This window comes from Homo sapiens, chromosome 10 (assembly GCF_000001405.40).
Source record: "Homo sapiens chromosome 10, GRCh38.p14 Primary Assembly".
NCBI classification, from domain to species: Eukaryota; Metazoa; Chordata; class Mammalia; order Primates; family Hominidae; genus Homo; species Homo sapiens.
In genome coordinates this window covers 46,282,702-46,295,489 of record NC_000010.11, presented here as the reverse complement: position 1 = coordinate 46,295,489, position 12,788 = coordinate 46,282,702, and the positions used below count along the sequence as shown (strand labels likewise).

The 12,788-nt window shown below is 52.1% G+C and overlaps 1 protein-coding gene and 1 long non-coding RNA gene across 22 annotated transcripts in view, besides 2 other annotated features; both read right to left on the bottom strand.

The window, feature by feature from the left end:
• Positions 1-9,398, bottom strand: part of ANTXRL (ANTXR like) — a 44,038-nt gene extending 34,640 nt beyond the window's left edge. For 8 of the 21 annotated variants that reach the window (XR_945612.2, XR_945614.2, XR_945615.1 and 5 more), the window contains exons 1-3: positions 7,980-8,493; positions 3,361-3,432; positions 1,590-1,661 (exon numbers count right to left, since the gene is read on the bottom strand). Coding sequence is in view for 13 of the 21 variants with exons in the window: in NM_001278688.3 (NP_001265617.1) it covers positions 1,590-1,661; positions 3,361-3,432; positions 7,980-8,227 (392 nt within the window). In the remaining 8 variants the exon portion in view is untranslated. Of the gene's footprint in view, positions 1-284; positions 345-923; positions 1,662-2,389; positions 2,587-2,680; positions 2,868-2,897; positions 3,173-3,360; positions 3,433-7,979; positions 8,494-9,041 lie in introns of those variants that run through there. The other 13 variants (XM_047424705.1, NM_001354208.2, XM_047424706.1 and 10 more) reach the window with 13 other exon arrangements.
• Positions 9,399-9,492: 94 nt separating this feature from the next.
• On the bottom strand, positions 9,493-10,640 carry LOC105378577 (uncharacterized). Its single transcript, NR_160731.1, has one exon. It is a non-coding gene; the product is annotated as an uncharacterized LOC105378577 (long non-coding RNA).
• Positions 10,450-10,939: a silencer, noted in NCBI's record as "silent region_2352". NCBI's record gives its function as "represses an Ori minimal core promoter by ATAC-STARR-seq in GM12878 lymphoblastoid cells {active_cell/tissue: GM12878}" and the evidence as "EXISTENCE:reporter gene assay evidence [ECO:0000049][PMID:35858748]".
• Positions 12,304-12,453: a silencer, noted in NCBI's record as "silent region_2351". NCBI's record gives its function as "represses an Ori minimal core promoter by ATAC-STARR-seq in GM12878 lymphoblastoid cells {active_cell/tissue: GM12878}" and the evidence as "EXISTENCE:reporter gene assay evidence [ECO:0000049][PMID:35858748]".

Sequence of the window (12,788 nt, the reverse complement as noted above, 5' to 3'; positions counted from 1 at the left end):
ACTCTAACTCTAACTCTAACTCTAACCCAAACCCTAACCTTAACCCTGAACCAGGGATGGGCAACTGAGAGTCAGCCACTGTCAATGGGGTTGACATTCCTAACTCTAACTCTAACTCTAATCCAAATTCTAACCCTAACAAGGACGCTGTTGTGTTGGGCACTCCGTCCTTTAACAGGTAGGGCTGCATTTGGGAAAAGTCATCCTGCTAAGCCACCAGCCCTGCACCCAGCCCAATGACCCCAGACCCCTGACCCTGACTCAGTTTCCTGCTCTATCTTTACCCTGATACAGGAAGTAGCAAATCTGCTTAGAGTGTCTGGCCTCCTTGACTTTCTGTGCCCCTGAAACAAAAAGACCAAAGGCTGGAGAGGCAGCCCCGACAGCTGTGCATGCAGGGGCTGAACACTGATCTGCGGACTGGCCGGGGCATGAGGCCTGTCAGTTGCTGTTAAAGCAGACAGAATGGGCTGGGGCAGTCAGGACTGGCTCTGGTGGCAGGACTGGGACAGGCTGGGGACTTAGGGTCAGGCTAATTCAATGTGACAGGCTGAGCCTGCACAGCAAGGCTGAGCAGAGCATGGACCCTGAAGGATGGCTTCCCACTGTGGGCAGAGAGTCCCTGCCATGGCCGGAGCTCTGAGAGCCCTGCCTGCCCAGCCCAGGAGGGGAGGAGGCCAGACCCATCCATACCCAGAAGAGGCCATGCCCTGGCCTTCCTCTGGCCATGCCCAAACCCCGCTCCCCGTCTGGGTCACTCGCCACAGTCCTCCCCCATAGACTTGCTTTTTACCACCTCACACCCACCCAGTCTCTCTGACAAACCCACAGCGCAGGACACACAGACTCAAGCTCCCCTACTCTGTATTCCCTCGAAACTGCAAGTGGGGCCCAGTCCCCCATCCAGTCCTCAGTGTCCTCACCTCTCTTCTGTGCTTCATCTCCTCTGGGCCCAGTTCCGGGCATGTGCATTGGAAGTGCCCTCACCTCCGGCCAAACAGGAACTCTGCTGTGCTCCCTGCTGGGCCTGGGCTCCAGCCTCCTGAGCTTGTTCCTCCTGCCTCCCTCCACTTTCCCAGCCTGCCCTGGAGCTCAGAACCCCACCCAGGGGCTCCCCAGTCTGGGCCTGCCAGCATCCCTGCACTAAAGCCCCACTACTCCCACCACCAGCTTTGACCCTGTCTCCCTCCCACACTGGTCAGGGCAGGGGGAACAGGCACAGAGCAGCAGCCAGCACAGGTGTGTGTTCACAGGACACACACCCCCGCCCTGCCAGCCCCTGCACCCTGGGAATCCTCACAGCCACCTTTCAGGGAAGGAGGCAGAGCGGAGAGAGGGCAGGGGAGCGTGAAGTGGGGGAGGCTGAGAACTTCTGGAGCACAGGGGCCTGCAGGTAACCTTGCAGCCATGGGTAGGAGGATGCAGGGGAGCCGGGGCTAAGGTCAGGTGGGTACTGTGAGTTGCCCTGACCGGCCTGCCCTGTGTGCTGTCAGGCTCCCAACCAAGGTCTCCGGGAGCCCTTCAGCTCCCTGGAGCTCCCTCTGGCCAAGCTCATCAGGCCTCCCTTTGGGGCTCAAAGCAGCACTCACTTGTCTGAGGTGAGTGGCAAGACAGTCTGGCCGTCTGTGGAGTAGGTGATGAAGCACATCCGAATATTTGGGCTGTGAAGGAATCATGTGCTGGTGAGAAGCCAGTGGCACAGGCTCAGAAGCCAAGGTGGTGAGGCCAATTCCCCACCTCCCACCCCAACTCTTCCGCTTTGGAGCCCCTTGCTGGACACAAGGAGGTGAGATAAATGTAGTGAAGGACTCTGAGGCCTGTGGAGACAAGGGCTCCATAGAAGGGAGAGTCAGGATGGCAACTCACTGCATCCCCACACTCCCAACACCCCAAAGACACTTGCACACACACACGCGCACACACAGGCACACACTCACACACATATGCACACACATGCACACACAGAGGCACACACACACACAGGTGCACACACCACACAAACACCCACACACATGCATACACACACACTCACACATGCACCCATACACATGCACCCATACACGCACACACCCACACACAGGCACACACTCACACACACAGGCACACACTCACACACAGGCACACTCACATGCACACACATGCACGCACACACGCACACACTCACACACAGGCACACACGCACACACACACAGGCACACACGCACACACTCTCACACACGCACAGGTATACACACCCCCCCACACACATGCATACACACTCACACACACACACAGTCACACACATATGCACCCACACACATGCACCTGAACATGCACACACTCATATGAACACGCACACACGGCACCCACACTCAGGCACCTGCACACACACACACACAGACACACATACCTTATAATGAACAGGCAGGGAGATGCACATACAGCCCTCCCAGCTGGCCTCCCTTCTACTGGAAAATTCTTTGCCTCTTCACCCCATTCCCTCCTCCCTCTCCTCTCCGTCATCCCTCCTTCATCTCAGACAAGTGACTCTCCCTATTGGCAGCCATGCACACAGCCTCCCCTTCCTCTCCCTGACCCTCCTTCCTGCCGGCTGACCCTCAGTGGCCCTCAGCGACAGTGCTGCCATACGTCCCCAGCGGAGCTCCCCATGGCTCCTGCCCTTGTTGCCCATTCATTTTACCCACAGTCATCAGACTTTTCTTCCTTAAGTGCCATCTTGATCATGCCACTCCCCTGCTCAAGAGCCTTCTCTGGCTCTCTATGGCTCAGAGCAGGAAATCCCAGCTCCTTGGCCTGGCATAATGAGCCCCTGTGGCTTTGGCCTCAAGCTGACCTGCCCAGCCCTCTCCCAGCCCTCCCTGAGCTAATCTCATTCCCAGCCAAGTCAGACCACTCACGCCACCACAGGTCCCCTGTCTTTTCCATCCTGCAAGACCCAGTTCAAAGACCCACATCCTTGGAAGCCATCCTTGACTTTGTCCTTAGGAGTTCCTGTTTTTTCCTTTAACCTTCCACGGAGTTCTTTGCCCCCTACTTGAACCCTCAGCAACTCGGAGTTCCAGGACTGAGTCACTGGTTTCCCTGCCTATTGTCCCTTCCCAGCGTGTGATGTCCCCAAGGGCAAACTGCCTCCCCTGCAATATGTCTGGGCTCACAGGCAGGAGCCAGCCAAGGCCGCTGAGACCCCATGGAACCAGTGAGTGCTGGCCTCATTCCTGCTTCAGAATGCCACCTTGTGCTCTGTGTCCCCCACTGAAGGACTCCCACGCCCACCCCATCTGATGGGATGTGCCCTCTGCCTGCCTTCCAGAAGAAAAGCTCTCTGCAGCTCAGGGGAGGCTGCCATGCAGAGATCTGTACCTTTGGAACCTCGCCACTGTTTCCTCCACCCACATATAAAGGTCAATCCAGTTATTGTTCACGCTGCCAGACCTAAAACAAAAGGAGATGTGGGTCAGGGAGATGAGTGCATCTCTCCGATGGGCAAGTGTCTGCCCCGCCCCCAGCCTCCCAGCAGGCTCTTAACAAGCTCTCCTGACCCCAGCACAGCTGAGGCTGGGGTACACCCCCAGTGGCCACTGGATCATCCGAGGTCATGAGTTTCACCAGTTGAGTGGTCAGCATAAGGTGACCACCCAGCCCCATCTGCCTGGGACTGAGGAGCTTCCTGGGATGTGGGGCTTTTGTTGCCATCCAGGTGGCTGATCAGGTTAGGTGGGGCACTGTGTAGAGTGGAAATGGGAGAGAATGTACTGGTTGGAAAAGCCCCCAGTGAACAATCCAAATATAGAAAATCAACCAAAAAAGTTTCATTTATGATAGCATCAAACAGAACAAAATACTTAAGAATAAATTTAAACAAGGAAGCTAAAGAAATGTGTACTGAAAACTATAGAACATTGCTGAAAGAATTTAAAGACACAATAAATGGAAAGATATTGCATGCTTATGAATCAGAAGGCACAATAATAATATTGTTAAGATAACAATGTAATCTGTATCAAAATCTCTACAGCATTTTTTGCAGAAATAAAAAAATTTGCACTAGATTTCATATGGAATTTCAAGGGACATTAGTCATACAGCAAAAAAAAAAATCTGAAAAAGAAGAACAAGATTGAGGATACACATTTCCTGATTTCAGAATTTATTACAAAGCTACAGTAATCAAACTATTATGGCACTGATGTAAGGACTGACATGTAGAGCAATGAACAGAACAGAGAGCTCAGAAATAACCTGTCATGTCTGTGGTCAAACGATTTCCAACCAGTGTGCTAAGAACACTCAGTGTGGGAAAGAACAGTAGTTTCAAGAAATGGTGCAGGGAAAATTGGATGTCTATGTGCAAAAGAATGAAGTTGGACCCTTCTGTAAACCATTACAGAAATTCACTCAAAATGGGTCAAAGACCTAAATGTAAAGGCTAAAACTTTTAAGCTCTTAGTAGAAAACATAACTTTTATGACATTAGATTTGGGGATTTTTTTGGATATGGCACCAAAAACACAGGCAACAAAATTAAAAATAGAAAAGTTGAGACTGTATCCAGATTAAAAACTTTTGTGCATCAAAGGACACTACCAAAGGAGTGAAAAGACAACCTGCAGAATGGGAGGAAATATTTACAACTCATATACCTGATAAGGGATTAATATCCAGAATATACAAAGAACTCCTACAACAACAACGAAAAAGAAACAACAAAAAAATGCAACAAAAAAAATGGGCAAAGGATTTGAATAGACATTTCCTCAAAGAAGATATGCAAATGGCCAATAAGCACATGAAAAGATGCTCCACATCACTAGTCACTAGGGAAATGCCAATGAAAGCCTCAAGGAGATACAACTTCACACCCATTGGGGTGACTATTATCAAAAACCAGAAAATAGCAAATGTTGGGCTTTTGTTGGTGGGAATGCAAAATGGTGCAATCACTGTGGGAAACAGCTTGGCATTTCCTCAGAAAGCTAAACATAGGATCACCATAGGATCCATCAATTGCACTCCCTGGCATATACCAAAAAGAAGTGAGAGTAGGGACTCCAAGAGATACGTATACACCAGCGTTCATAGCAGCATTATTCACAATTGCCAAATGGCAGAAGCAACCCAAGTGTCCATCAACAGACGAAAAGATAAACAGGCCGGGCGAGGTGGCTCACGCTTGGAATCCCAGCGCTTTGGAAGGCCAAGGCCGGGGAATCACGAGGTCAGGAGTTCAAGACCAACCTGTCCAATATGGTGAAACCCTGTATGTACTAAAAAATACAAAAATTAGCCTGGCGTGGTGGCATGCCCCTGTAGTCCCAGCTACTCAGGAGGCTGATGCAGGGAGAATCGCTTGAAACTGGGAGGTGGAGGTTGCAATGAGCCGAGATCGCGCCGCTGAACTCCAGCCAGGCAGCAGAATACTCCAACTCAAAAAAAAAAAAAAAAAAGATAAAGAAAATGTGGTACATATACATACAGAGAAATATTATTCAGCCATAAAAGGGATGAAATTCTGATGGATGCGACAACATGGGATAAACTTGAAAACATTATGCTAAGTGAAAAAGGTCAGACAGAAAAGGCCAAATATTATATGTTTGCTTGATTACATTGTGTGACTCCCCTTACATGAAGTACCTACAATAGGCAAACTCATAGATAGAGAAAATACACTAAAGGTCACTAGGGCTTGGGGAAGGGAGGAATGGGGAGTTATTGTTTAATGGAAATAGAAGTTTTTTGGGTTTTGATGGGGATGGGGTTTGAGACAGGGTCTCACTCTGTCGCCCAGGATGGAGTGCAGTGGTGTAATCTTGACACACAGCAGTCTTGACCTCTCAGGCTCAAGCGATCCTCCTGCCTCAGCTCAGGCTGAGTAGCTGGGAGTGGAGGCACACATCACCATGCCTGGCTAATTTTTGTATGTTTTGTATGGACAGGATTTTGCATGTTTCCCAGGCTGATCTTGAACTCCTAGACTCAAGCGATCCTCTTGCCTTGGCTCCCAAATTGCTGGGATTACAGGAGGGAGCTACTGCTCCCGGCTGAGAATAGAGTTTCAATACGCAATGATGAAACATTTCTGGAGATGGATGGTGGTGATTGCACAACACTGTGAATGTACTTAATGCCGCTGAATTGTACACTTAAAAATGGTAAATTTTTGTTATGTATGTTTTCCCACAATTAAAAAATTACTCAAAAAATACAAGGGGTCATTCCCACTTAGAGCCCTCAAATGTCACCTGGCCAAGAATAGGAGCGCATGGGAGGCTGATTCATTTTCTTCCAGCTCAATCCAATCAATGAACAAGTGAATAATGAGTCTCATGAATAAGCTGGACGCTAATGACCAAAGAGCCTGCCTGCAGGCAGTAGATGTTGTTTCTGCCTGGAGGATTACCGCAAGTTTCTCAGGGTCCCGCCCAGCTGCGTGGTCTTTGGATGGGCTTTGGAGTCACAAAATCCAGAGTTTCAATTCAGCACCATGGTCTATCTGGAGGCTGTGGTGGGTCATTCCCTGGCCATGACCTGGCTCATTGCCTCCTCCTTAGAATGGGGCAATGCCCTTTACCCCCAGCCTTGTTAGGAAGACTCATTAAGGTTGCTTTTGTCTGCTCCCTTTACATCCACTCTAGGCACTCCCTCTGCATTCCCCCTCATCCAGTCTGTCTGGGATTACATCAGGGCCTCTGCAGTTCCTGTGAGTTTCTAGCCTGTGGCTCTGCCTTGCCTGGCAGGTCCCTTCATCCCCATCCTCTGTCATCGCCTCTGACCTGCAAATTCTCCCTTCATCCTCATCACACTTGGCAAGGTGAAAATGAAGATACCCTTTTTACAGATGGGGGACACGAAGGCACAGAATGATGAAGCAACTTGCCCAAGACTATGTGGCTAGTGAGTGGACTCTGCCTGTCTCCAGAACTGAGTTGCTCCTTCCCCAAGAGTAGCAGAACAGTCAGAAACCATGGGAATTGGTGGGCTGGGGTACACGTCCCCTAACCATTAGTATCCAGGAGGAATGAGAAAAATCAGAGGAATTTCAACCTGCGATGCTGGAAAGTGTGCAGCACAGGAAGCCGGAGTCTTGTCACACTAGCTGTCTCTGGATGCTTCCCCAACCTCCAGGAGCCACCCTTGTCCAGGAACCAGATAGAAAAATACCTGTACTACTCACAGCCCAGGATTGTGGTGAGGTGCCAGGAGTGCAGGGGAAGGGCTTTGGAGGCCAGAAAGTGCTGCAACATTCTCCTGAAGATTGCACCACTGCTGCTACTGAATAAGCACAGAGTATTACCACCCAGCAGGAGGAGCAGGAAAGGGAACCAAGGCAATCTCTCCAAAGCTGAACATTTGCCTCTTTTCTTTCCTGGTGAGCCAGAAGGTGCCTAATACGTAGCCCAGCTTCCCCAGGGCCAGCCTGAAACAGACCAAACTGTTCTGAAAGTGTAGGAACTATCGCGTGGCTCTCCAAGTTGCAGAAGAGGCACTTAGAAGCAGCCAACCAAAGGCCTTCTCTAAGCAGTGACATTAGAATGCCCAACACAGGCAACAAAGCAATCTCTGTGGGGCCCAGTAAAATAGAAGTCATTTGCGTGAAAAAACAAACAAGCAAAACAACACAGAAACCCCAAACATCCGCAGTGAGCATCTGAGAACTGCTGAGAGGCAGGTCCGAGCAATCATCTGTTGCAGCAGCGTGAGGATGAGGATGCTGACCCAGCTGATGGAGGGGTAGGGAATCGTCCAGAACCCCTTTGGTGGCTTTTTTCCTCATCCAGGAGATGAAGCACCAGGGAAAAGAAAGCCAGGGCATTCTTTCTGCCTCAGAAAAACAGGAGGCCTAGGTCTGGTCTGACCAAAGTTTGGCCCTGCTTCTGTGACGGAAGCTTGCATCTCCTTGAGTGGTGTCCTGTCCCTAGTGAAAAAGAGACAGTGGCTCCTGAGGGTGACCCAGGGCCAGAGCTAGAAGGGACACTCACTTGTCCAAGATGAAGTAGAGGTCAAATGAGCCCTGGCATCTGTGACCTGCTTGCCCCTGGCGCCAGTGCTGCCTCCATCCTGGGCCATGGTGGTGGTGGGCTCTCCTGGAGCCCAGGGCCAGGCGGTGAAATATTCTCCAGTCAGGTCCATGGTACCGAAGGCTTCCTGCTCTAAAAAGCGGTGGAGGAAGCAGCAGCAGCAGCAGGAAGACCAGGAAGTAGGGCCCCAGGGACTCATGGCTCCCCATTATCTGGCTGTCCCTGTGACCCCACCTCACTCTTGGGTGCCTGTGCCAGGGCCCAGAGAGGCTGAGCACAGGCCCCTTCTTTGCCGCCTCCCCTTATGCCCGGGGCCACACCCCTCCTCCTGCCCTTTCACCAGTGCACACTATGGCCCTCCACCAGGTACCTCCCCAGATCGCAGGGACTAGGGTCAGCAGCTGGCTCTGGGAGACTTGCTTCCAGCTACCTGCCTGGCCCTTCCCCCACCCTGGGGACAGAATTCTCTGTTATGGTTGACAGGAAGGTTGACATGGTGACTTTGTGACCTGCAGCTCTTCCCAATGTCCTGCATGTTGACAACATCAGGGGGAGGCACAGGACCTTTGGAGGGGCTACAAGAGGAAGCCTCCATTTCCCTTATAACAGCCCTCACAGTGTCCCTTAAAACCACTAGACCCTGCTGTTTGTTCATTGGAAGAGTTAGCCCAGGTGAGTTAGGTGAGGACATTGCTGTGGGTGAGGAGGTCAAGGACTGGGAGGCCAGAGTGTTGGCAATGGGAGGTTATTTGTGTGACACTGAAGTCCCCCAGGAGATGGCAGTTCGGGAAGGAGATGGAAACTGCAGTGTTGCCAGAGTCTTTGTGAATGAGGGACATTCCGGTTCTCTACTGCTGTGTAACAGACCACCTACATTTAGGGACACAGAACAGGCCCATTTTATTATGCTCACAGGTTCTGAGGATCAGGCACTCAGGGCGGAGTTAGGAGGGCTCCTCATGTCTGGGGCCCCATAACTTGAAGGATTGGGCACTGGAATTATCTGGAGGCTGCTCCACTCACAAGTGTGGCTCCTAGGCAGGAGGGCCCAAAACCTGGGCTCAGCTGGGACTGTGAATGGAGACCCTGCATGTAGCCTCCCCGTGTGACCTGGGCTTCCTCCCAGCATGGCAGCTTCAGGGTGCTTGGGCTTTTACAGGTGGCCCAGAGGTCCAAGAGTGAGTATTTTCAGTGAGCACGGCAGAAACTGTAGAGCTTTTTATGACATCACCTTGGAAGTCACACAGTGTCACTTCCACTGTGCTCTATTGGTCCAAGCAGTCACAGCTGCCAAGAGTCAATGGGCAGGAACACAGGCCCCCTCTCTAGGGAAAGAATGTGGACAGGTTCACATCCCAGTGTCAAAACTGCTGTATGACCAACGCTTTGAATAGCAGAGAGGTTACAGTGTGTGGAAAGACGTAGGCACCAATGAGTGAGACTCAAACAGGACTCAGAAAAGTCAGACTGTAACTGTTAGAAACACCTTAATCAATTTTATTTTATTTTGTATGCACAAGAGTGATATCCAATTAAAAATCGTTCTCTAATAAGTCTAAAATATATCTTTCAATATGTGTAATATACAAATTACAAGTGATAAAAGTATTGGGTTAGTTTTTTGTTCTTTGATTTCTTTTGTTTTGGAACTGTATTTAATATAATAGAGTATCTTAAATAAGGGGTATTTCAGAATGAATGAAGCCCAGTATATTTCCTTCAAAAGCATATTTGAGCTATCTTGCTTCATTCTTCTTGATACTTGGTATTAGCATACTTTAATATTTTTGCCTGGTGGTAAGTCATCTCCTTGTGGTTTACTTTTTTCTTATTTTATTTATTTATTTTTTTGTAGAGACAGGGTCTTGCTATGTTTCCCAGGCTAGACTCCACCTCCTGGCCTCAAGGGATCCTCTGGCCCTGGACTCCCAAGCGCTGAGATTAGAGGTGTGTGAGCCACCCTCACTGCCCTCTTTGTGGTCTTAATTTGCTATTTCCTAATTACTAATGGGAACTGGTCACCTACTCACTTGATTTTGGTCGTTCATGGTTCCTCTTTGAAGTGCCTATTTAATGCCGGCATCCATTCTTTGCTTCAGGTGTTTTTCTCTTTCACATTGACTCAATAACAGTCTTTATATATCCTGGATACTAATCCTTTATCACTTGCTGCAAGTATCTTCTTTTACTCTGTGGCTTGTTTTTTTCACTTCATTTATTGTTTTTTAAACAAAGCCTAAGTTCTTAATTTTAACGTACTTGAACTGACATTTTCTACCCTGGCCCCCTCCCACCCTTAGTTCCCAGACACCTCTTATGATCTGGGGTCGAGGAGCCCGCCTTCCTGGCGGTCTCAGCTGGGGCCTGGGGAGCGAAGGCGGCGGGCGCTCGCGGGAGGAGCTGCGCGATTCGGATGCTGGGGAGGTGAAGCTCGCGGGGCCGCCAGGCCGCCGGGGTAAGGAAGGCCGGGAGGCCGCGGGGGTCCACGGCGCGGAGGGAGCCGCAGGCACCGGGCACAGCCCTCGCCCATCGCCGAGACCCGGCAGGCCCAGGAGCCAGAGGGCGGCGGCGTGAGAGGGAACCGCCTCCAAAGGACGCCCTCGCCCTCCCGCAGGCATAGTCGCAGGCGCCAGTCCCGGTCCGAGCCAGCTGGGGGTGGCTCCGGGGAGCTGAGCCGGGGGAGGGCCGGGCCGCCCAACGGATCAATAGGGGGGTTTCTCCCAGGTTGCCGTTTCTCTGGCCCGCGACGCCCTACCCGCCGGAGCCGCCCAACCGCAAGCCCCGCCCCGAAGGCGGGTGCAGCCAGGAAGGCGGGGCCTGGTGGCCTCTGGGCGCTGGCGCCAAGTTCAGAGCCGCGCCCTGGGCTGGGCGGTGGCGGCCGCGTCTGCACTTCCCCCCCTGCGCGCCTCTGGAGAGCCCGGGAGAGACGCACCCTCAGGTCGGCCAAGACCGAGAACAAGCGGGCGCGGGCAGCGGAGCCCATCTCACTTGCACGAAAGGCAGCGTTCTTGAGTCCTGCCTTTGACGGCGGGGGGTTCTTCCCTTCCCTCTGTCAGCTTCCTCCAGCTCTCTCCCATGTCCTTTCCGAGTCCCATTGCTGTCCCTGTCTCTTGCCTCTCTGCTTCTTGTCTCCTTGTCCTCTCCTGTTTCTCTCATCTCTCCCTTTTTCTTGTGTCCGCCTTGTTGGCTATTTCTCTTTTATCCTTTTTCCTTCTCTCTCTTTCGGCCTCTCCCCTCACTCTCCCTATAGGCTTCCTTCTCTCTTGCAAGCAAGAATTCTTCTTATGTTTTTCCCCTAAGGTGACTTCTTGGCCATAATCGTTTGCATCCACCCCTCCCCGCCCCAGCCCTCTCTCTGTTCATCTTGTAGTGCCCCATTATTCTCATCCAGGGCTTGTGCTAGGTGCTGGCGTCTTCAGCCCAGATCCTTTCTCCAACAGAGTATATACAAAGATCTGCACATGTAACCCGTTCAGTGCCTTTCCTGGGAAAAAGTACATAGATGATCAAATTATAAATCTCTGAATTTTCAGGGTCACCTGAAAAAAATACCTGGTTTTAGATACAAGACAATTGAATCCTTTTCTTGACATTTTGCGTTTACTCATAGAGGCACAGACAGCACAGCAGGAAGCTAAGCCTTGCAGAAGCTTTTAGGGGACATTGCCACCCACACCTTCTGTGCAATGCCAGGTGCAGGGGAGGCAAGGGACAGGATACAGACCTGGGTTGTGGGAAGACAGTGGGAGGCCAGGGCTTTGCACTTGAAACATTTGGGTGAGACTGACTGGAAATAAGAAATTAACAGTAAATTTCTAAAATATGTAGTTGCTTTGCCTCCTCAGAAATAATGGAACCTGATGTTGTGGTATATTGTGATCTTTAATGATATTCCAGCTTTTGACCAGCTTCTGTGGAACATCTCTACCCTGCCCTGCAGACTACCCTGTGACTCCTGGAAGTCTAGGTCCTTTGTTGCATGGAGAGGATGCAAACCACGTGCTGCAGCTCCCGATGCCTTTTCCGAGCAGATTCCTCAGAGGGGGTGCCTGACATCAGAGATGAATTTCAGCCAATGCCTCCGAAGAGGCAGATGCAGAAACCTCACTCCTCTCAGTAACCCTGAGCAAAGCACTCAACCTCTCTGAGCCTCGGGTTTCCATCTGTAAAATGGGCTCAAGCTAAGTTGTCTCTCCAGACTGTCAGGCGGCGCGCAGGGAGGAGGTGCAGACGCGGCCGCCACCGCCAAGCGCCCAGCGCGCGGCTCTGAACTTGGCGCCAGAGCCCTGAGGACACCAGGCCCCGCCTTCCTGGCCGCACACGCCTTCGGGGCAGGGCTTGTGGGTGGGCGGCCCCCGCGCGGGAGGGTGCCGCGGGCCAGAGAACTCGCAATCCGGGAGAAAGCCTCTGATCAGCTGGGCAGCCCAGCCCTCCCCGGGCTCAGCTCGGCGGACAGCCCTCTGATGGCTCGGGCTGGGCCGGGCGCCGGCGCCTGCGGGAGGGCGAGGGCATCCCTTGAAGGCGGCTCCAGCTCTCGCTGCGGCCCTCTGGCTCTAGGCTCCCCGACCTCTCACTCCTGCGCCAGGGGGGCCGCGGCGATGCGCCCCGTGCCTGTGGCTCCCTCTTCGCGGAGGACCTCCGTGGCCTCCCGGCTCTCCCTCCCCGCGCGACCTGGCGGCCCCGCTAGCGGCACCTCCCCAGGGCCCAAGTAGCCCAGATCCTCCAGGAGCGCCCCGACACCTCCGCTCCCCTCGCCCCAGCTGTGACCGC